The sequence below is a fragment of the Homo sapiens genome, chromosome 15, assembly GCF_000001405.40.
Source record: "Homo sapiens chromosome 15, GRCh38.p14 Primary Assembly".
NCBI classification, from domain to species: Eukaryota; Metazoa; Chordata; class Mammalia; order Primates; family Hominidae; genus Homo; species Homo sapiens.
In genome coordinates, this window is record NC_000015.10 from 99,090,221 (window position 1) to 99,113,471 (window position 23,251).

At 49.5% G+C, this 23,251-nt stretch overlaps 1 protein-coding gene and 1 long non-coding RNA gene across 4 annotated transcripts in view, besides 4 other annotated features; one reads left to right on the plus strand and one right to left on the minus strand.

Moving 5' to 3' along the window:
- Window positions 381-470: an enhancer, noted in NCBI's record as "active region_10149". NCBI's record gives its function as "activates an Ori minimal core promoter by ATAC-STARR-seq in GM12878 lymphoblastoid cells {active_cell/tissue: GM12878}" and the evidence as "EXISTENCE:reporter gene assay evidence [ECO:0000049][PMID:35858748]".
- SYNM-AS1 (SYNM antisense RNA 1) lies at window positions 744-15,657 on the minus strand. The gene is made up of 3 exons (NR_187219.1): window positions 15,468-15,657; window positions 10,503-10,631; window positions 744-950 (listed from the first exon to the last, which is right to left on the minus strand). It is a non-coding gene; the product is annotated as an SYNM antisense RNA 1 (long non-coding RNA).
- Window positions 9,960-10,766: an enhancer, noted in NCBI's record as "H3K4me1 hESC enhancer chr15:99640383-99641189 (GRCh37/hg19 assembly coordinates)". NCBI's record gives its function as "activates a minimal SCP1, AML or CMV promoter by ChIP-STARR-seq in naive H9 embryonic stem cells {active_cell/tissue: H9 hESC(naive)}" and the evidence as "EXISTENCE:reporter gene assay evidence [ECO:0000049][PMID:30033119]".
- Window positions 14,610-15,519: a silencer, noted in NCBI's record as "silent region_6864". NCBI's record gives its function as "represses an Ori minimal core promoter by ATAC-STARR-seq in GM12878 lymphoblastoid cells {active_cell/tissue: GM12878}" and the evidence as "EXISTENCE:reporter gene assay evidence [ECO:0000049][PMID:35858748]".
- The window catches only part of SYNM (synemin), a 36,688-nt gene continuing 28,296 nt past the window's right edge, over window positions 14,860-23,251 (plus strand). For all 3 annotated transcript variants that reach the window (XM_017022035.2, NM_145728.3, NM_015286.6), the window contains exon 1: window positions 14,860-15,789. In XM_017022035.2, the coding sequence (XP_016877524.1) occupies window positions 14,980-15,789 (810 nt within the window). In that variant the 5' untranslated portion in view covers window positions 14,860-14,979. The remainder of the gene's footprint in view (window positions 15,790-23,251) is intronic.
- Window positions 15,800-15,969: a silencer, noted in NCBI's record as "silent region_6865". NCBI's record gives its function as "represses an Ori minimal core promoter by ATAC-STARR-seq in GM12878 lymphoblastoid cells {active_cell/tissue: GM12878}" and the evidence as "EXISTENCE:reporter gene assay evidence [ECO:0000049][PMID:35858748]".

Here is a 23,251-nt window from a genome sequence, read left to right on the forward strand (position 1 = left end):
ACCACCAGGGCTCAAACCACAGCCAGAGAAGACACATGCCTCCTGAACCCACCCTCCATGCTCTTAATTTCCTTCCCAGCCCCCTGTTTATCATGGATGGTCTCCATTTTAAACAGAAAATCACTTCTTGTCACCTGTCCTGTCAAAAGTCTTCTGTTAATCCAGTCTGACCTGGTAGCCCCATTGCCCAGCTGTCTGTTTCCAACCTTCAGCTATTTTTCTGGAGGTGACTTAGCAAGCTGCACTCACTCTTCTCCCCTGAGAGTTCCCCGGGCCCATGGCTGCCTGGGGAGACATGTGCAAGTATTACCACCGCTCAAGATGCATTTCTCATGATGAGGCAGAAGTGAAACAAAGCAAGCCTGTACCTCATTTTCATTCACCACCGAGGAATTGCAAATGTTGTGAAAGTGAAACACATTTGCATTCTTCCAATCACCTAATTTATCTGGATTTCCACCTTCATTTGTTAAATAAAGGATTCAGTGAAGCAAAATCAACAAGGCTTTGGGAACTCTTATAAAAACAAATAAAATAAATATTGTGATTCTACAATATGTTTTGACATATTTTGTATTATCTCTTTATGATTCTGGCTGGGGGCAGGAGGGGAAGGATTGACAATTGCTGTAAATCAGGCTTTTCCTGAATGCAATAGCTGTATTTCAGGGACTTCACGCTTATAGAATTTTAGAGCCAGAAACAATTTGTATGAGTTATCTATTGCTGTGTAACAAAGGACCTCAAATCAGCAAATATTTATTATCTCACAGCTTCTGAGGGTCTGGAATCCAAGAGTGGCTTAGCTGGGTTGCTTGGGCTCCGATTCTCACATGGAGCTGCAGTCAAGCTGGGCCACAGCTGCAGTTGTCTCAGGGATTGGCTGGGGCTGGTGAATCCACTTCCAGGCTCACTTGCATGGTTGCTGGCAGCTCTTGGTTCCTCACAGGCTGTGGGCCAGAGGCTTCAGTTACTCACTGGCTACATCTCCAAAGGGTGCCAATGACATGGCATCTAACTTCTCCCAGAGTGAGGGATCCAAAGCAGAGAGAGAATGACCAAGAAGGAAGCCATAGTACCTTTTTTTTTTTTGAGAGGGAATCTCACTCTGTCACCCAGGCTGGAGTACAGTGCCACAATCTCGGCTCACTGCAACCTTCGCCTCCTGGGTTCAAGTGATTCTCCTGCCTCAGCCTCCTGAGTAGCTGTGATTACAGGCATGCACCACCACGCCCAGCTGATTTTTGTATTTTTAGCAGAGACGGGATTTCACCATGTTGGTCAGGCTGGTCTCAAACTCTTGATCTGCCCACCTCGGCCCCCAAAAGTGCTGAGATTACAGGCATAAGCCACTGCGCCTGGCCCATAGTACCTTTTATAATCCACTATCAGAAGTGACATACCAACCACCCTAGGTACAATGACGAAGTAACGGCAGGAGATGGGGATCACTGGGCACTGTCTTGGAGGCTGGCTACCCCAGAATCTTAGAAATAGTGGCATCTTGTTCCCTTAATGACAGCTAAGGAAGCTAAGGTCCGAGAGTTATAACCTCTGAGTGAGTTGGCCAACATCACACCAGAAGTTAATCACCAAACCAGAACTTGAACCCAGACTTTCTATATTTTAAAACATTGCAATTTAGCAGCCACATATTTTACTCATTCAGTGCTTACCAAAAGCAAGAACTGGACTAGGCAGCATGGAGATTCCAGGATAAAGAATACAATCATGGTCCCTAACCACAAGGTCACAGGAGTGGTGTGGAGTGGGATATACCGAATGAGATTACCCAGTAGAATGGAGCACACTTCATCAGAAAGTTACAACTGAACACCCTTGACAGTTCAAAGGCAGGCCTGATTTCCACCGCCACCCTCAGGGCAGGCTTTGCGGAGGAGGTAACATCTGAGTTGGGCCTTGAAGTATAGATGGATTTAGGCAGATGGGGATGAATGGGGTGGGGCTAGGCTGAGAGTCCACGATTTAACCCCGATGTCTCCAAATCTAACTCTGTGAGCTTCAACTATGGCAGTATTAATCAAAGGCTCCAGCTCTGAGTTACCCTTTTGGCTGCTGATGACTAAACTTCGGGGCTATCTGGAAGGAGGGCCTTGGTAGCTTTTGTAAGAACTTCAGTTGCCTTGGCTGCCACTGACATTTTTATTGATGATGCTGACACTTTGTGATCGAGAAATTGAAACCAGCTTCCTGACCATAGCTATCGACGTCATCCAGACAATCCCCCAATACAGTGCAAAAACAATTTCAAGTAGTTTGTGAGTCCATAAATTATCCTTGCCTGCTGATTTAGCCGCTTGCGAGTTGATGTAGGAAATTTACTATTGAGGAGGTGGTAAGAGGTTAGAAAGGGTGGGCTTGAGTTGAGGGCAGCATTTCCCCAACCACAGGCCAGGAGTCTTCAGGAAGGTGGGAGTGGAGGGGTGGCCAGCGGAGGCCCATTACAGAAATGTGTTCAATCAGACTCATTGTCCACCACATTTAGAAAGCCCACAGGTGGGCCGGGTATGGCGGCTCATGCCTATAATCTCGTACTTTGGGAGGCTGAGGTGGGCGGATCACCTGAGGTCAGGAGTTCTGGACCAGCCTGGCCAACTTGGTGAAACCCCGTCTCTACTAATCACACAAAAATGAGCCGGGTGTGGTGGCAGGCGCCTGTAATCCCAGATTCTCAGGAGGCTGAGGCAAGATAATTGCTTGAACCTGGTAGGTGGAGGCTGCAGTGAGCCAAGATCACGCCACTGCACTCCAGGCTGGGCTGGGCGACAGGGTGAGATCCGTCTCAAAAAAAATAAAGAAAAGAAAACCCACAGGTGTTGATGAATGCCAGGCCCATGTAATTGACTAACGTGTAGACGGCATCATTTGAATGAAGGGTTTTGAAATTATAAAGCAAGATCCATTAATGAGTCATGATATTAAATTTGTGGCACCAATCCAGCACTAAAAAGGAGATTAAAACATTGGAGGGATAAGTAATGCTTTGTAGAATTTTTGTTTCAGTTGCTTGCATGTGTGTGCAATGAAAAATGTATTTCCTTTTGATGTGGTCACTGACAAAACAGTTTGTGTTTTATCTACTTTATTTTTTTTTAAATATTTTATTTTTGGAAACAGGGTCTTGCTTGTCACCCAGGCTGGAGTGCAGTGGTGATCACAGCTCCCTGCATCTTCAAACTCCTGGGCTCAAGCGATCCTCCTGCCTCAGCCTTCTGAGTAGCTGGGACTACAGGCACACCACCACGCCTAGCCAAGTTTTTTATGTTTAGTAAGAGATGAGGCCTCACTATGTTGCCCAGGCTGGTCTTGAACTCCTGGCCTCAAGTGATCCTCCTGCCTCAGCCTCCCAAAGTACTTCAAAGTACTTTAGAAACATAAAACTAACATTTCAAATGATACTGTAGATAGCACTTCTTGGGATAAATGTCTCTTTTTTTTTTCCTTCGAGATAGAGTCTTGCTCTGTCACCCAGTCTGGAGTGAAGTGGTGCCATCTCGGCTCACTGCAACCTCCGTCTCCTGGGTTCAAGCAATTCTCCTATCTTAGCCTCCCAAGTAGCTGGGATTACAGGTGCATGCCACCATGCCTGGCTAATTTCTATATTTAGTAGAGATGGCATTTCACCATGTTGGCCAGGCTGGTCTTGAACTCTGGACCTCAGGTGATCCACCTGCCTTGGCCTCACAAAGAGCTGAGATTACAGCCGTGAGCCACCCCGCCTGGCCGAGATAAACGTCTCTTTAAAAAAATCAACTTTATTGTAGCATATGTAACTAAAATTTACTATTTTTTTTTTGAGATGGAGTCTTGCTCTGTCACCCAGGCTGGAGTGCAGTGGCACGATCTTGGCTCACTGCAAGCTCCGCCTCCCGGGTTCACACCATTGTCCTGCCTCAGCCTCCCAAGTAGCTGGGACTACAGGCGCCCGCCACCATGCCCGGCTAATTTTTTGTATTTTTAGTAGAGACAGGGTTTCCCCGTGTTAGCCAGGATGGTCTCGATCTCCTGACCTCGTGATTCGCCTGCCTTGGCCTCCCAAAGTGTTGGGATTATAGGCGTGAGCCACCGCGCCCGGCCAAAATTTACTAATTTTTAGTGTGCAGCTTAAGGAACTAGAATGTATAGTTGTGTTACCACCACGCAAGTCAAGATGTGGAAGAGTTCTGTTTTACCAAGAAGGTTCCTGTTCCCCTTCTCAGTCAGTCCCCTTCCATCACCTAGCCTGTCATGTACAAGGGGGGCCAACGAATCTAGGGCAGAAGCAGAAGGAGGGGTGAGTTGATCAATATGTATTGAGGATCCACAGCACGTAGGGCTTTGTAGGTCAGATGTCCAGGGCTTTGGGTTTACTCTAAAAGAAATGGGGAGGCACGGGAGGGTTTTGAGCGAAGGACTGATCCGATTTAGGTTTTGAAAAGACTATGGAGAAACTACTTTACATATACACAAGGGGTGAACAAATAAAAAACTATACTACAGGTAATGAGAGCCAGGCTTCTCACTGCTGGAGAAAGAAGTTACAAATGAGAAATAAGGGAAGGAAGGCTAGAACAATCCTTGTGGATGGGAGTTGGAGGCATCAGTATGAACTTGTGTGTGGACAGCCAGCTAGATACATAGAGAAATAAATATAGACATGCCTGTAGACACGGATTACATGTGTGTGCATGTGTGTATGTGTGTGTATGTATGTGTGTTGCTATCTTAACAATAGTAAATCTTCTAATCCATGAACACAGGCTGTCTTTCCATCAGTTTAGGTCTCTTTAAAAATGTATCTTAAGAATGTTTGGTCATTTTCAGGGTGCAAGTCTTGAATTTCTTTTGTTAAATTTATTCCTAAGTAATTTTTTTATATTATGAATGAAACTTCTTTTTTTGTTTGTTTTTTGTTTTTTGAGATGGAGTCTTGCTCTGTCGCCCAGGCTGGAGTGCAGTGGCACCATCTCAGCTCACTGCAAGCTCCGTCTCCCGGGTTCAGGTGATTCTTCTGCCTCAGCCTCCCTAGTAGCTGGGATTATAGGCGCCTGCCACCACGCCCAGCTAATTTTTGGCTATTTTTTTTTTTTTTTTGTATTTTTAGTGGAGATGAGGTTTCACCAGGTTGGCCAGTCTAGTCTCAAACTCCTGACCTCAAATGATCTGCCCACCTCAGGCTCCCAAAGTGCTGGGATTACAGGCATGAGGCACTACACCCAGCCATGGATGGAACTTCTAAATTAAAGTTCCATTTACACAAAAATAAAAACAGTAAATGAATATTAACTGAATTTTTGGATTGTTTATTGCTAATGGGTAGAGGAGTATTGAGAGTTCCCGGTATGCTGTCGAGGTGTGGCTGCTGAGACCTTCACACTTAACGAACTGGGACAAGATACAGCAGAAGCGGAGGCAGGTGAAAGGGTAAAATCCCACGGGCTCTTGAGAGGTTTGGAGGAAACTGTAATAGAAGGACCGTAAAATCAAGTGACTTTTGCTAAGTGCCACTAACTCATTAAGAGAGAAAATGTCAGTCTCAGATCTGTTGCTCAGTGATTTACAGCCAATTGTGAGAGTCACAGGGCCTACTTGGCTGCCTTTAAAGAGACCCTCACCCCCTGCAGGCAGAAGGCAAAGAGAATGGAAGAGCAGGCACAGCTTCTAATTGTAAGAGAGGCTGAGTTCTCATTCTAGGCAAGTCTCTAATGTCAAAGCCAGGGCTCTGAAGGGAAAGGAGTGGGACTGTGAGACTTGGGATGGGGGTATTTGGGGACTGCAGGTAAGAACCAAGGATCTCCAGATTCCCCTGCAGAAGTGACCCACTCCCCCTTTCAGGAATATAGGCCCCTGCCCCCAACCACCAACTTCTGCCAGAAGACTACGCAGAGGCCACAAATGTTAGGCAGGGGCTTTACAAGGCAATGCCTTCCCTTCATGGTCCACCAGCACCTCTCTCCTGGCCACCAGATCTGTATCTAACGTCAAACCTCAGCAAGCCCAGCTGGGAAGTACTGGGCCAGCTCAGGAAGGAGGGGAATTATACAGCAAAGGTGCTACACAACCTGATTCATGCATGTCAGCAGGGACTGGAGCGGAAAGCCTGGGAATGGGAGGATAGGTGGTCTGTAAGGTGCTGGGTCAAGGTGGGCTTGTGGGTCAAGGCTATATGGCTGGAGTATGAGAGAGTTGTTGGTGTGCGGGCAGTGTCCTGCGACAAGGATTCACTCCCTGGCAAGGGCCTTGGGCAGCTGCTAGTGTGCTGCTGGGGTAGCCCTGGGAAGCCTGGGAAAGGGATAGTACACATTAAATGAATGAAGTAGAGATGCCAGGACACACAATGCAGGAGGGAAGGAACAAATATCAGAGAAGTGGGCGTAAGACCAGAAAACCCACCAGGCTAGCTACGTTCCTTGGGCGGCCTGGAGGATCCTCCATCTATCACAGTGATAAGGAAGCAGCTGGTGAGGGGCACCACCCCACTGAGAAGCTGAGTGGTACCTGTCCTCTGGAGGGGAGGGACTGACAGAAGAGACGCTGTTACAGAGCTGGCCTCTCTGGTGGGCATGAGAAGACGCAGCAGTGGCTCTCAAACTAGCATGCATTCAAATCAACTGGAGGCTTGTCAAAACACACAAGGTTTCATCCGCAGGTCTGGGCCGGGGCTAGAGAGTGTACATTTCTAAAACGTTCCCAGGTGATGCTGCTGTTGCTCATCCAGATACTAGACTTTGAGAGCCACTGGCTACAGGCCTAGCAGAGGGCGGATGGCAGCCCATAAGTCTCATAAAAAAGGTGAGTATAATTACTGTTATGAGCTGCAAAGTTGGAATGGCCATGGGGGTGGGGAGTGAACTAAGGGTTCTACAGACTCAGGGATCTGAGGGATCTGTGAATCATAGAACACGGTGTTCCTAGGGGAAAGATAAATGGGCTGCCGGCAGAAACATCCCCAAGTATATATATAATCAAAAACACTTCTAAGCCAAGTTATGATCCAGTTTTCTGACCCTGAGCCACCAGAACACACTGGCTGAAAGGACCCGACAACCTCTATGGCAAGTGAGAGCCTTGGTCCTTCCCCAGAGCGACTGCAGCCAGTTAGGACGCGAGCACTCATTTCTTTTCAGGATGGTTGGTTCCTACTGTGGCGTCCAAATTGATGCGGATACCCAGGGACCCATAGCACCACCATGGCCCCCGTGTTAGAGTAGGGATCTATGGGGGTCATGTCATCCACAGAGCCCTGCCCAAGACACAGCGGGGTCAGAACAGCAGTCTGGGCTGCAGCGACACATCCGAGGATCACTGGCATGTTACTGTATTTAAAGCCATGAGATTGGATTGGAGCAGCAGCAGGTAGATAGAGAAGAGGTGAGTGGCTAAACGACTGGTGGGTGGCAATTAGGGAGAAGCAGGCACTTGTGACAGCGTTGGGGGAAGAGAGGAACTTCCCCAAGCTCTCTGGCCTCCCCAGGCCCCGGGTCTATGAGGAAGACGGCTGTGTCTTTCTCCTTTCTGTGTTCCCAGGGCCCAGCCCAGCACCAGGCACACAGAGGGGACTCAAAAACTAGCTTTCGAGTTACCCTATCATGAACACCACCAACAAACTCCACAGAAAATGTGCTTCTAAGGGCAGGGAGAGCAAATATGCTGTTCTTTGACGGCAAATTATTCTTTTTTTAGTTCTTCAGTGGAAGTGAGAAGTCTTGTCCCTGTTGGGAAGATTAAACAGGGGATGTTTCTTTGTCACTTGGGGCTCTTCCCAAGTTCATTTGTAATGATTATGACATGACTTTCCAAATTAAGAGAGGGAAGTTGTGCAGCTTAGATTACTGCATTTTTTTTATGTGACAAATGCTATTTTTGTACCTTTTGAAAAGGCAGCCTATACCCCAACAAACACCTGCTGTGCTCCTATGAAACAGTGACAAATGATCTACCCACCCAAAATAGCCAGAAGAGCTGTGACAGAGTGGGGACACTGTGGGCTCTGAGCAAGAGTGGCTGGATTCGGATTTTGGAGTGAGACGGAGCATGAAGACGCTGTGTCCTGAGGCCTTTACATTCTCATCTTACTTATCCCTTGTAGCGATCCTATGAGGGAGGGGTTATCCTTACTTTACAGATGAGGAAACTGAGTCTGGGAGGCTCAAGGACCAGCTCGTCCCTGTCCTCCTGCTCCCTAGACCCAGCTGGTCTCAGACCCTGCGGAGCTGCCATCATCTGCATCTGTGCCCTGACTCTTCAGCCTCTCTCCCTGGCCTTCTGGAGACAGACCTCTGACCGGTGGGCTCCATGTGATTCTGGGCTCCAGGACCTCTCCCATGAAGATGACCAGCACTTGCTGAGTGCGGTGTGCCAAGTCTTGTGCAACACGTCTCACACAGCGTAACGGGCAGTGTGGCAAAGTGGGTAAGGTAAGGGTTCAAATCCTGGTTCTGCCACTTTTTACTTGCACGGGCTCGGGCAAGCTGACCACCCTGTGGCTCAGCCTCCACATCATTCACCTCGAGCTGATGGTACCCGCTGCACGGGCTGCTGTACTGCTTGTGAGTTCATCCACATGAAGAGCTCAGAACAGTGCCTGGCGTGGCAAGACTATACAAGGACTAACTCTGATGGTGGGAGCCAGGAGGTTTCCTTGTGGTCCTTGCCTGGCAGCATCTTCCTCACCTGGGAATGGACTAATGCTTAGCCCACTCCAGGCTACTGACTCTGAAACTCTGTGTGTGGGGCCCAGGGATCTGCATTTTAACAAGCTCTCCATTGAGGCCAATGGACGTGAAAGCTTAGTCTTTCTAACACCTCTATAAGAAGGTCTATTTTGTTCTCATTATTACTATTATATGGATAAGGAGGTGGGCTCAGAGGGGTTGTCATGCCTAAGCTTATGCTGGTACTAAGTGCCAGGATGCAAAGTGGGTCAGTCCACTCCACACCACTGTGCCTGGCCCAGCCCTTCCCGCCAGCTCGACGCACTTCCCTTTCCCACTGGCTTCATTTCCTACCTGGCCAAGCCTGTCGGGGGCAAGCATGCCTCTCGGTCCACAAACTTAGGGAGGCAGGGAATAAGCACAGGGTGATGAAAACTCAATCCCCATCCATTCAAGGGGTTAGAGACCTGATCCCCTTCCCTAGATTGCACCAGAACTGTTGAGGACTTACACAGTGCTAAGGCACCAGGGTGGGGGGCCCACCTGGTCCTCATGCCACCCATCAGTGCTGGCATCCACTAGCCTTCCAAGAGAGCCCTAGATCTTCATCCCTACAGGCAGAGGCTGGGACAGTGGACCACTTTGGATAGTTAACCAGCTTGTTCACTGCACAAACATATCCGGATGGGGTGATCAGTGGGACTGAAATCCCACCTGTGCTGTCCTTGCTGAGCTATGGAAGTGGGTGCAGGACAGCCTCCACCCTGAGGCAGGGCATCTCTTCCTTAGCACCAAGGAACCATCCACGGACCAGGTCATGCACCCAGTGGGCTCATCCATCTTCCCACAAAGGGTGCCTTTTCCCAATTTGCACAAAGGAACCTTAGAGACGGATGTGGCCCTGCTGGTGTGGCCCCATGCTGGTGGAGTGGCTCCCACAGGTCTGCGGTCCTCTGCCACTTCCAGGTGGTGCTCAGGCCCCTGGCCTCACTCAGGCTGGGGGAGATGGGGTGCAGGGCGAGGGCATGGAGGAAGGCTATCCTGGGCCATGCTGTGGCCCTTCCGCTCAGGCCCACAACTTCCCCAAGGCTACCTCTGGGAAGTAGGGCACAAGGGGCCCGTGGGATCGTTGCTTGGATCCCACAACATAACTGGGGTTTTGCTGTCTCCTGGGGCTCTGCCCAGGAAGGGGTGCAAATCTCCCTTCACTATGACCCAGGGCTGTGCTTCCATTCCACTCCATCACCCCTCCTTCAATATTTTCTTGCCTCTGCGGAAACCCAACGCTACTCAGCCTTCCTTCAGGATTTTCTCCCCAACTTTTTTCCAGCTAGAAGTCTTCCCCGAGTTCCTAAAATCTTGGATTTTGGAGACCAGTCAGGCCTTTTCTTTTCGTCTAGGGCATAGGCTTCCCTTCAGGCAGTGAGCAGAAGGAATGAGCTGGGGTAGGGGGAGAGGGAAGAGCAGATCTATTAATCGCCCCACCCCACAATAACTGCACATGCCTGGGAGCCCCGTGGAGCGCAGGCCACACCGTGCCAGGTCCTCCGAGTCGGGAAAGACTCGCTATTCCCGCTTCCCCAGCCCGGAGCAGGGGCTAATGGAAAAGGCTGCAGCCCCCGGCGCGCGCAGCCTCCTGCTTCTTGGACTTTGGTGAAATTGTGGCTGCGGGCCCGCGCTGCTTCCGATCCACGGCGCCGCTCAAGCGAAGGCTCAGGGGGTCCCCCGCCCGAGGCGGCCCCAGAGCCGCCCCTCTGGTCTCCATCCCGGAGCAGCGCCCTTCCACCCTCCTTGGGCGGCGCTGCCCCAGCGGCCGGGTGTTTTCACCGCCGACCGCGAGCTTCCTACCGTTCATCCATCCGCCGCAGGAAGGGGGCGCACGCGTCACTCGCTTCTCTCCAATCCGGCTACATCCCGGAGTTCGGTTTTCACTGGAAACGACACCACCGGGGGTTGATGGTCCCTAAGGTGTTCAGCCTGCGAAAGAGGGCTGTGGTTAAAAAGATAAAAATACACTAGTGCCTTACCGGGTCCTGAGCAATTTGTTTTGTATTAGGTCAATTCTAGAAAAAAAAATTTACAGGTCATTTTTTTTCATTCAAAGTAAAAACTGTTTTACTGAATCCCATGATCTATCTATCCAGATATCACCTGTGTAATCTAAGCTGGAAGACTATATATATATATTCTATTGAATAGAAAAATGTCAATAAGAAGTGAAGATTGCAGGACTTTTATTTTTGCCATTAAGCTATTAATAGAAATGCATAGTTGTTAATATGTTAGCAATGTGGCTTTCAAATTTTTATTGCAAAAAATAATAAAGTATACACTGCTCCTTATCATAAATTCCAAATAGCAAATTGATTCTGGCAGAATGGTTTTATCGATTTTTGCAGAACTCTGGTGTTCCTAGTGCATTTATGATTACAGTTGACAAATGAATGCAGCACCATGAATATTGATTGATATTTTTGTTTACCTTAGCAAGAAAGACAAAGGTGAAATAACTGAGAAATTTCATTTATTCTTCATCATGATGTAACTTCTTTTTAAATTTTTTTTGTATTTTTAAATTTTGTTAAGACAGGATCTCACTCTGCTACCCAGGCTGGAGTGCAACGGCTCAATCATGGCTCACCAAAACCTCGATCTCCTGGGCTCAAGGAATCCTCTCACTTCAGCCTCCCAAGTAGCTGGGATTACAGGTGCATGCCACCATGCCCAGTTAATTTTTGTATTTTTTGTAGAGAGGGGGTTTTGCCATGTCCAGGCTGGTCTCGAACTCCTGAGCTCAAGTGCTCTGCATGCCTTGGCCTCCCAAAGTCTTGGTATTACGAGTGTAAGCCACCACGCCCAGCTATGAAGCAACTTCTTTCCTGATCTGGATACAAGTTTCGAGACACCGGACAAACATTTCCTCACGTTTTTGTGCTGTTCACAATTCAATAGCTAGACACACAACATACCACTAAATTTAATCTGCACTATTAACATACTCTCCACTGCTTTTAAAGGCTAGACAATCAACAAAACATCAAATCCACAAAAACAAGTCATTGGCTGATTTCTGTGTTGTAAATACTCAAGCTACCAACATGATGTCAGTGAATATGGAGTAGGGTAGTACACATTAAATGGCATTTCTATGGTGCAGGCACACTGCTCATTCATAACTTCAAGAGCAGATCATAGGAAAATGCAGTGAAATACTGAGGAAGTGATACGTTTTGAATATGTGTTTGCTCTTTTTGTATAATTAGTTGTAAGCTTCTATAATTAATTTTTAATAATGGCTGTGTTTAACAAGTGGTTCATAAAATTCTAAAAATTTAACAGTTGGCACTCACAAACCTGTGGGAGCCAACCGCAGTGCACCACTGCCAGGCTCCTGTGACTTCTGGCTTCCACAGCGGGAAGTATTGGCAAGAGAAGGGAGGCTTGGATGAAGGAAGAACTGGGTTTTCCTCCTCTTGCTCCCTCCTGGGATCCATTCTGCTCCTCTTTTCCAGCGCTCTGGGCTTCTCCAGGCTCAGCCAACACCCTAAGGCGCTAACGGCTTCTTAGCTTCTTGCTCTTGCTGGTCCCTGGTGCTTCCTCATCCCATCCATCCCCATCCCATCAATCATTCCCTTCCCTCTGAGTTTGCCTCTGCTTCCTGGCCAGACCCTGCCTGCTCAAGTCTGCTCTTGTGGTCACAACTCTAATACTTCTAGTCACTTCACCCCTCCGAGCTTCAGTGTTGTGAGGATTCAGTATGAAGCAGCAGGATATTATCCTGAAAGAGTAGCTGGGGGTACTTCCCCCCTCCCACCTCCCGGCCCTGCTAGTTCCTGATCCCCTATAACTCTTTCCCTACCGGGGCAGCTGCATGCTGGAGCAGTCAATTCCTCAGGGACAGGATTTACAGCAGAAATGGGGGAAAGGGTTTTGAGTTTCAAAGTCCAAGACCCTGAAGGGCACTGGGCAAAGAAAGACTAATGAGTCACTGCAAAGTGTCCTGCTGGGACTCACTGGTCCCTGAGAAGGCTCTCCCACCCTGCAGGGCTGCCCCCTGCCCAGCCAGGGGATGTGGGACAGCAGAACCCGTTAGCGTGGGGAGTCAAAGAGCTGAGAACAAACAGCTGCAGCGGAGTCCAGGCAACTGTGAGAGCCGCCCCCCCGCACCCCAATGTCCCAGAGGGGCCCAGGACCGGCAGGGTCTCCACATAGGTTTGGGCGATGACACCACAGCAGCTCTGGTGTTTGACAAGCAAAGGCCAGGTGTCAGTGTGCACCTGGGGGAATGGGAGGATGGACAATGATGGGGTGATGGGGGTCCAAATCCCCCTGTCCCACACCAAGGTGAATGAACCCAAGCACTGAATAAACCCACTTTCCACCCCCACTTAGTTTTAGCAGAAAAGGACAGGGAATTATTCATTGAAAGATATTAATTTCTACCACCTACAGAATGGGATCTCCAACATAGGGTCTCTAGAAAAAGGAAGGGCCACTTTCTGCCTTGCTTGTGATTGGAGGCTCATGGCTGTGACAAGGAGAGCACTAGAAGCTTTGTCAGAGGCCCTGGACCAGCTTGCTGAGTAGTCCACCTTTCCATGCCATCTGTAAAATACACTAACTGCTGGCCCTGCCATGAGGAGCCCTCTGGCCAGTGGATGACCGTCCAGGTCTCGCCCTGGGCACTTGTGTTGCCACAAGTTCAAGGGCACCCCAACCAAGGGTCAGCTGGTTTGTCCCTGTGAGCCTTAATGACACTTATACTGAGAACTGTCATTCATAAATAACTGCCATGAAAACTAATGAAATGCAAGTGTACAAAAAAGAGCTGTGGTTTCCATGGCAATTAAACTGAATACTTTCTTAGGGAAATGCTGGAAAGAAACAGCTGTCACATTAGGGGTGTGTGTGTGAGATTTGTAAAAGTTCGGGGAGATGTTAGATGTCTAGAAAGTTCTGTACTTGGAGCACTTTATGGTCTCTAAGTTTTCACTCCAAATGAAAGAAATTCGTTTTGGAAAATGTAATGTACTATGAGGGTAGCTTGTATAAGAAGGGCAACTGGGACTCCTGTCAACTGACATCAAGAGAAGTATTTTGCACATTAAAATACTGGTAAATGGATATATATTTATGTTTTAAGTTAAAAAGATTATTTAGGCTGGGCACGGTAGCTCACGCCAGTAATCCCAGGACTTTGGGAGGCCGAGGTGGGCGGATCACCTGAGGTCGTGAGTTCGAGACCAGCCTGACCAACATGGAGAAACCCCGTCTCTACCAAAAATACAAAAAAAAAAAAAAAAAAAAAAAAAAAAAATTAGCCAGGCGTGGTGGCGCTGGCCTGTAATCCCGGTTACTCGGGAGGCTGAGGCAGGAGAATCGCTTGAACCCGGGAGGCGGAGGCTGTGGTGAGCCGAGATCGTGCCATTGCACTCCAGCCTGGGCAACAAGAGCGACACTCTGTCTCAAAAAAAAAAAAAAAAAAATTAATGCACATGTATGTGTAATGTATATATATGAGATGAGGCCTCTCTCTGTTGCCCAGGCTGGAGCGCAGTGCCACAATCAGGTTCACTGCAGCCCTGAACTCCTGGGTTCGAGTAATCCTCCCGCCTCAGCCTCCCAAGCAGCGCGTGTGACACCACCACGCCAGGCTCCATATATATATATATATATATATATTTTTTTTTTTTTTTTTTTTTTGGTAGAGACAGGGTCTCTCTATGTTGCTCAGGCTGGTCTCGAACTCCTGGGCTCAAGCGAGCCTCCCACCTCGGCTTCCCAAAATGCTGGGATTATAGGCCTGAGCCACCGCGCCCGGCCCATATCGTTTTTTTAAAAATAGAAAAGCCACCAATCTCCAGGGCCTCGGGTAAGAAGTCGCTCCAAAATCGCCAGCACCACAGCAACTCAATAGGCTTCTATTTCCATCCACCAAGGCCAGGACACTCGTATGCTCCCGGACGCCCTCTCCGGCGTCCCTTCGCTGAGCCCGGCCTGGCTAGCCCGCCACCCCGCCCGCTGTTACCCGACTGCCCGCACCGACCACCTGCGGCCGCCAAGGTGCGGCAGGGGGCGCTGTGCGGCCGCAGAGGCCGCGCCGGGCCGCGCTCTGATTGGCTGGAGGCCGCGGCCCTCGCCCAGGCCGCCCGCCCAGTCTGCCCGCCCCGTCCGCTAAGTGCCTGGGCTCTCCCGCTCGCGTCCCAGTCTGCGGGCCTCCGGGGCAGCGGCGAGGCCGGAGCGTCGCGGCGGAGAGGACGAGACCGGGACAAGACCAGGGCAGGAGGGAGCCGGCCAGCCGCGAGAACCCCGCACGCCCGGCAAGATGCTGTCCTGGCGGCTGCAGACGGGCCCCGAGAAGGCCGAGCTCCAGGAGCTCAACGCCCGGCTCTATGACTACGTGTGTCGGGTGCGGGAGCTGGAGCGCGAAAACCTACTCCTGGAGGAGGAGCTGCGCGGCCGGCGCGGGCGAGAGGGCCTGTGGGCCGAGGGGCAGGCCCGCTGCGCCGAGGAGGCGCGCAGCTTGCGGCAGCAGCTGGACGAGCTGAGCTGGGCCACTGCGCTGGCGGAGGGCGAGCGGGACGCTCTGCGGCGCGAGCTGCGGGAGCTGCAGCGCCTGGATGCGGAGGAGCGCGCCGCCCGCGGCCGCCTGGACGCCGAGCTGGGTGCGCAGCAGCGCGAGCTGCAGGAGGCGCTGGGCGCGCGCGCCGCCCTCGAGGCGCTGCTGGGCCGGCTGCAGGCCGAGCGCCGAGGCCTCGACGCGGCCCACGAACGCGACGTGAGGGAGCTGCGCGCGCGCGCCGCCAGCCTTACCATGCATTTCCGCGCCCGCGCCACCGGCCCCGCCGCGCCGCCGCCACGCCTGCGGGAGGTGCACGACAGCTACGCACTGCTGGTGGCCGAGTCGTGGCGGGAGACGGTGCAGCTGTACGAGGACGAGGTGCGCGAGCTGGAGGAGGCGCTGCGGCGCGGCCAGGAGAGCAGACTCCAGGCGGAGGAAGAGACGCGGCTGTGCGCGCAGGAGGCAGAGGCGCTGCGGCGCGAGGCGCTCGGGTTGGAGCAGCTGCGCGCGCGGCTGGAGGACGCGCTGCTGCGGATGCGCGAGGAGTACGGGATACAGGCCGAGGAGCGGCAGGTCCGTGCGCGGGGATGGCGCGCTGACCCCATACCCGCTGCCGTCGCCCCAGCACCCTGCCCTTGACGGCGTGGGGCAGCGGCCCCTTCACCAGGGGCGCGGCGTCGCGGACCGGTAGGGCCCGCCCAGAGGGTGCCCGAATGGCATGGGGACCCGGACTCGGTCCGCTGGTCCATCGACTCAGCGGGCGAGCGCGGGGCGGCAGGTCCTAGCGGATAGCCCCGTCCTCGTCATGGGGTTAGGTGGCAGCTGCTTTAACTCTTGACAAGCGTGACTGGGCGCATCCTGATAGGCCACCCTGTTAGCTCTAGGTTTTCCTTCCATTTTCCGTGCTCCGTAGACTCAGTAGACCCAGATCTAAGAGTCAACCGAGAAACCTCTCTCACTTGCAGAAGTGACGGCTTATGGTAGCCCCGCTGTCTATAGCGCTCCTCAGGGGAAAACTCAAATTAATTTCCAAAACGGTTTTTATTTTGCCAATATGATTTCCCAGTTGGAAGCCGCAGTTGTGGCTCTCTGGGCGGCTGCCTTGTTTGATCTTGGGAGGGGCAGCAACCCTCATGCAGAACAGAGCTTGATCGAAGATGTTTTGCTCACAGCACACGCTGACGTCAGATCTCTGCGTAGTGTAAAAGTTGTGGGAAAGTGGGGCCCTTTGGCAGGATGTTATTACAAGTGCAGAGTGATATAAACAGTTACTATTTCAGGGAAGCAAACCCTCTGACACCGGCGGGGTGACACCTGTGGCTGATGTAAACTATGCCCAGTCCAGCCCTAGCGTTTGGCCCTCGCCCTGCCCTGCCTCAGCCAGAATTGGAAATATTCCCAAATCACACTATCAGTAGTTCTCAAAAGGACAGATGGAAATAACATCTGCACAATTTCACAAATATTTTAAGAGTACAGTTTGCAGCTGTGAGTTAAAGATTTGAGACTGACTTTTAAAAATTAGAAGTGAGAGGAACATGGGGGTTGTCATATGGAATGACTGCGGTGATGTGACAGGTATCCACAGGTGATGAGTAAATACCTGTTGATTCTCCCTGGGTCCCCAGCACTGCCCTAGACTTTCAGTATGCAAAGAGCTACAGGCTAGATGGGAAATCATAGAATGCAATATGGTACTACATTGGGATTTAATCTTTTGAGTTGTGGGTTTTGTTTGGCTTCCGCCTCATAACTTTTCAAAGTGTTCTCTTGGGGCTTTGCCATAGCTAGAGCAGGGACAGGGACTGACCCAGTGTGTACCGATTTCCACTTGTGAGCACTTGTGTCCCTTTGCAATGACAGTGGCCAGGGGTCTGAGTTCCACAGGTCCTATACTCGTTGTTGAGTGAAAGTTAAAAAGTGCCTTAATGTGGCATTCATGGAGATTTGACCAGTGGTTATTTTGACTCTCCAAAAAGGAGTATCTGTCAAACCTACTGCCCAGGGAACCCCTTTGTAGGGAACCCTCGCTACCAACTCAGGGGTCTGTGCTGTGCAGGCAGGTTTAGAAAATGCTGCTTTGAGCCACGCTGTGTGGACCAAATCGTCACCATGCGTTCACAGCCACAGCTCACTTGGCACATTTCAGACCTTCAAATTCTGGTTCCAGTGTTCTTTCTTAGCGGCAAAGCCCTTTTCCCCACTAATGAAACCTTCAGTGGAACTCGTAATGTGAGCCATATGAAAGCAGAGTTCCCCTGACTGGAGGAGACATGGGGACTTGAAGTGCAGTTAGAATCCTGTGCAGCCCTCCTTTGACACAGGGACTCCAGGGCCCACCGGGGAAGTGCTTTTCCTGAGGTCATACCTGCCCTCAGAGTGAGGCTGGGACCCCACTCTCCGTTTGCCATCCAGTGATACTTCTCTCTTGTTGGAATTTGCTGCTTTTTCCTAAAAGCAAAGAGCGAGGAAAATGTCAATAAGGACCTGGTTTTTTTTTTTGTTTTTTGTTTTGTTTTTTTTTTGGTTTTGGTTTTGGTTTTGGTTTTGGTTTTTTGAGACGGAGTCTTGCTCTGTCGCCCAGGCTGGAGTGCAGTGGCTGATCTCGGCACACCGCAACATCCGCTTCCTGGGCTCAAGTGATTCTCGTGCCTCAGCCTCCCGAGTAGCTGGGAGTACAGGATCCCACCACCCCGCCTGGCTAATTTTTGTATTTTTAGTAGATACAGGGTTTCACCATGTTGGCCAGCCTGGTCTCAAACTCCTGACCTCAAGTGATCCACCGGCCGTGGCCTCCCACAGTGCTGAAATTACAGGTGTGAGCCATGTGCCCGGCCATTTTTTTTTTCCAGTTCCAATTTGCAGAGGTTTTACTGCACTAAGTGTTACCAGTCACTACCTTGTCCATATACTGAATCTTCCCTCAGTTAACTTAAGTCAACTCCATTTCAAATTGCATTCCAGAAGATTCAGCACCAATCACAGAGATGCTAGGAAGTATGTGAAAGAGGGAGTATGGATGATTTAACCCCAAGCCTGTAATTTTTTTCGGGTTCTGTAGAAGCTTACTATGGGGAGAGTGAAAAAATCCTAAAAATGGGTTGAATTAGTATATGGTAATAAATATCTTATTACTAAGAGCCTTTAGCAAGTGCTTCGTGTGTGCCAGGTACCACAGATGCCCTTCACAAATATTCACTCTCAGTGCCCACACCAGTGTTACGAAGTGGGTACTAATATAAGCTCCATTTTACAGAGGAGGAAGCTGAGGCACATAAGTCACCTGATTAGTAAGTAGTTAAGCCAGGATTCAACTCAGGCTCTAGTGCCTGAGCAACTGACCGCTGGGCGTCCGTTTCTCTCTTCTGTCTGTTTGATCAGAGAGAAACCTTTAACCAGTATTCTTGCATTCATAGCATAATGATAATTGCTCTTCCTAAGGGCTAGCCCGAGGTACTCTGCTGATTTCAAGTCCTAAAATGCTTTTAGACCCCTCCAGCTGGCTGAATAGTTTTGGCATTAAAACTATTTTCTTTCATTTCTTTTTTTCTGTGTTCCATGTGCTTTAATGCCCCCCTCCCCTGGAGGCAGGAGCTGGAGGCAGCAGAGGGTGCTGCCACATTGTGCCCAGCTCTCCCTGCCTCTGGCTATAGCTTCTGTGGCTCAAGGGGGAAGATGCTTGCTAGGATTCTACTTGAGGGGAAACTGGTCCTTCCCAGATGGCCCATGCGCCTTCACTGTATGAGGCGGTAGTCATTGGCCTGCCCCAGGCCTGGCCTCAGATTTGCCCGAGAAGAGTTTGCTGAACTGACATCCAAGTTCCCAAATGTGATCTAGATCACTTGAAGCCTGAGTGACACACCCAGGCTGCAGGAGGGGGCTTCAGAAAACACTTGAAGACATTTGCGATAAAGTGGAGACCAGCTTCACCCTGCAAACACGGAGATTTTTGCTTATGAAAGTGAGCCCTTAGCTGCTGAGGCTGACTGGAAAAGGCTTCCAAGCCCCCAAAACATGATTGAATGAAAGCTTTTTGTAGATGGGAAGGTGGGGTGGGATTAGGATGGGATTAGCTAAGGGTCAGTGCTCTGCAGCTGTCCTACCTGGCCCTGAATTCTGACTCTGCCGCTCTTTGGGCAGGTTACGTTCCTTAACCTGTCTGCAATTCAGTTTCCCCATTTGTGAAACGAGGTACTGGAAGTAGCTCCCAGGGTGTGTACAACTGGTTCATTCGTTCAGCTAACAGCCGTTGAGCATTTAGTGTGCCAAGCTCAGTTCTTCATGGTTGCAGATTCAGCAGTGAAAAATGCCACGTAAAACAAAGAAAGTCCCTTGACCTGAGAGGCCTTCAGGTGGAAACAGCGTGTGGTTTTTCGGGGATGCCTCAGCCAGGCTGCCGGTGTGGCTAGGGCACAGTGAACAGGGGGTAGAGTGGCCACTGCAGGACTTGGGCATTTACTTTGAGTGCCATGGGAAGCCACTGGAGGTTCTGAGCCGAGGAGAGTTGGGGCCTGGCTGTGGCTTAGTGGAATCACTGTTGCTGCTGTTTTAAAAATAGACTGAGTGGACTCAGGGATGCCTTCAGAGATTGTTGCAGTAACCCAGGCAGGAAGTGCTCGAGGCTTGGACCAGGGGTCTCAGAGGGGCCCCTGCGTTCAAGTTGAAGCCAACGGCATTTGCTGCCAGATTGAATGTGATGGGAGAGGGAGAAATCACAGTGGACTTCAGGCGTTGTGGCCTGAGCAACTGGAAGAAGGGACTTTCCTTGTTTTACGTGGCATTTTTCACTGCTGAATCCGCAGCCATGAAGAACTGCGCTTGGCACACTAAATGCTCAACGGCTGGTAGTTGAACGAATGAACCAATTGTATACACCCTGGGAGCTACTTCCGGTACCTCTTATACGCTTTACTGCGGGGCATTGGTTAGGAGGACGGGCCTGGGTGGGAGATTCAAGTTCCATGTACGTGTGTTCAGTTTGAGATGCTTCTTACACACCCACCTGGAATTGTAAAATATAACTTGAGTTCAGGGTGCTGTCTGGGCTAAGCTATAAATACTTCGTCGGCATCCAGTTCGTGCTTATTGTTATGAATACATTTAATTTTTGTGTGTAGCTGAAGTTATCACAGTATTTAAATCCCCTGGAGCTCTACCTTTCAAGGTTGCAAATGACAGTGATATTTGTGAACTGTCCCACAGGCTTGCTCAGTGAGCGGTAGCTCAAGTTTGGCTAAGAGAAAATTAATTCTTTTGATACTGACAGCAGCATGCCTTTCCTGGTGTGGAGCAAGATTTCATCATCGGTTGTGATGCTGCCCAAAAGTTCTCTAAATAGCAAAAAGGTGACCTCTCTCCCAAGCTTTTGCAGCATTAGGTGAAACTGCCTCTGCTCGGGTGAGATGTAGCGTCCCGTGTCTGGGGCTCCAGTGCCTCTGTCCTGACCCACAGCTTGCTGACTGGCCAAGCAGAGCCCAAGTCTGAAGTTTTATTCCACAGCAGGATTTGTTGTGATTTCTGCAGAGACCACTGGGAGCCAGTTAAGTCTTATATTCCTGCTTCCAAACGTCAACTAATTTTCCTTTGACAATTTAGGAGGAGCTGACTCACATGGAAATGTGACTGAAACTGTACTTATTCCAACTTCAACACAGTTTGATTTTCCTCTTTGTATTTTGTGGGTGCAGAACTATTCTGTGTGCTCTGGGAGGAGTATCTTCCTGCACACCCCTTCCACGTGACTAGGCTTTCTTGACCTGCTCAGGAGGTTTGTGGTTGGAGAGCTTTCATCGTATTTTTTTTCTAAGCAGTTTAACAACATTTGAACTTCTTTGTAAGGAATAAATTACTATAAATTTTTAATTTGTAATAGTTATGTCAAATTTCCTGTAGTAGGAAGGACACACATACATACATACATGCATACCTACAGCCCATCTTGTATGAGAACCTTGTACCTGAATTGTATTCCCTCTAAAACAGGGGAATGTAGGATTTTGACATTGAGATTTAACTCTAGAATGTGTGAATATTGTGGCTAAATTGTGGCAGTGCTGTCACTTACATCAAGACTGGCAGTTGCTCTTTGGTGAGCTTCTCTGTTTGTAATGCCAGCTGTGGGATCTGTTATCGTTTTTCCACCCTGGGACATAAGCCAGTGATTTTTAAGTTTACTTCTTTGCTTTAAAAGCTAAGGGGTTTTAAACTACTTCAGGACCCTTTATATTCAGGGAACCTAACAGCCATCATTGGCATAGAAATAGAACTGTTATGAGAAGTGGGAATATTTATTGGCTGATCATGCATTTTAAAAAATGATAAATTCTGGCTGGGTGCAGTGGCTTGTGCCTATAATCCCAGCACTTTGCAAGGCTGAGGCGGGAGGATCACCTGAGGTCAGGAGTTCAAGACCATCCTGGCCAACGTGGTGAAACCCCGTCTCTACTAACAATACAAAAATCAGTTGGGCGTGATGGCAGGCGCCTGTATACAGTCCCAGCTACTTGGGAGGCTGAAGCTGGAGAATCACTTGAACCTGGGAGGTGGAGGCTGCAGTGAGCCGAGATTGTGCCATTGCACTCCAGCCTCGGTGACAGAGCGAGACTGTCTCCAAAAACAAACAAAACAACCAAAAAGATAAATTCCATGTGCAATCTTGTAGAGTTCATTCCTTGGTTTCACAGACATATTTATTATGGACCCTCAGCATCTTGCCGGGTGCCTTTGGTGAAGGGATTCCAGCAGCAATGAACATAATATTCCCTCTCCCAGTAGTCTTACCGTTTTTGAATTCTACAAAGATAAATGTTTATAGGTCTAGCTTAGTTTAGTTAATGATGTTCAGAAATAATGCTACTTCCCATTACAAACCAGAAGTTAAAAGTACATGGACTTATTTCAATGTTTAAATACTTGCTTGGTTAATTGTTCCCCAGAGTAACTAACAACTAGGAATAAAACAAAACTGGAAATCGGTGCAGCTGAAGCCCATATGTTTGTTTGAGAAGATACTGTCGACTTCAAATAGTACATTTTGAGGAGGGTGATATGATCTTGATCATTTCATTTTAAATTTAATTGAGCAGCTATGTGCTGTGTGACTTGTATGTGGTGGGCACTGGTCTAGGTCTGGGATTCAGAAGGCCGCAGTATCTCCCTGCCAGGTAGAGAGGCAGGTCGGGGACCCGGCCAGGGGTGAGGGGAGCTGCGAGGAGCACCCAGGACGCCCTTACTAGCTGCACTGTGCAATTACGGTTCATAAAGCAGTTTTATTTATTTTTATTTTATTTTTTGAGGTGGAGTCTCGCTCTGTCGCTCAGGCTGGAGTGCAGTGGCATGATCTTGGCTCACTGCAACCTCCGCCTACTGAGTTCAAGTGATTCCTGTTCCTCAGCCTCCTGAGTAGCTGGGATTACAGGTCTGCGCCACCATGCCCAGCTATTTTTTGTATTTTCAGTAGAGACAGGGTTTTGCCATATTGGCCAGGCTGGTCTCGAACTCCCGACCTCAAGTGATCCGCCCGCTTCGGCCTCCCAAAGTGTTGGGATTATAGGTGTGAGCCACCACGCTAGGCCCAAAAAGAAGTTTTATATCTGAGTCTGTAGTTTGTCATTTATGCCCAGAATGCATTTCTCCCCAGATGATCTTAAAGTAGCTTTTCTAAGTGAAACAAAACTCTGTATCAGTTTACCTGCTTATTGTTGGAGAAATCATGACTTTGGGGAGTACATTTCAGTTCAATTCTGAGTGACTTATGTTTTGAATATTGTAAAACCCCTGATTTCTAGTCTTGGCTTATTTTCCATAGCGTCTTAGTGACTGGTTTGAAGCACTGGCTCTCCTAAGCAGCCTGATGTCTAAACGGTAGAGATGATTTGAATAAACTCCTAAGCATTCATTATTAATAGAGAGTCTGAACAGAGAAGCCAGTGTCCTATCAAAATGTTCCACATGCAATAAAAAACTTCCATATGGAAGAGATACAACATTGGAAACCATCCTGCAAGTGACTGCATGTTTAATAACGCCGGGTGTT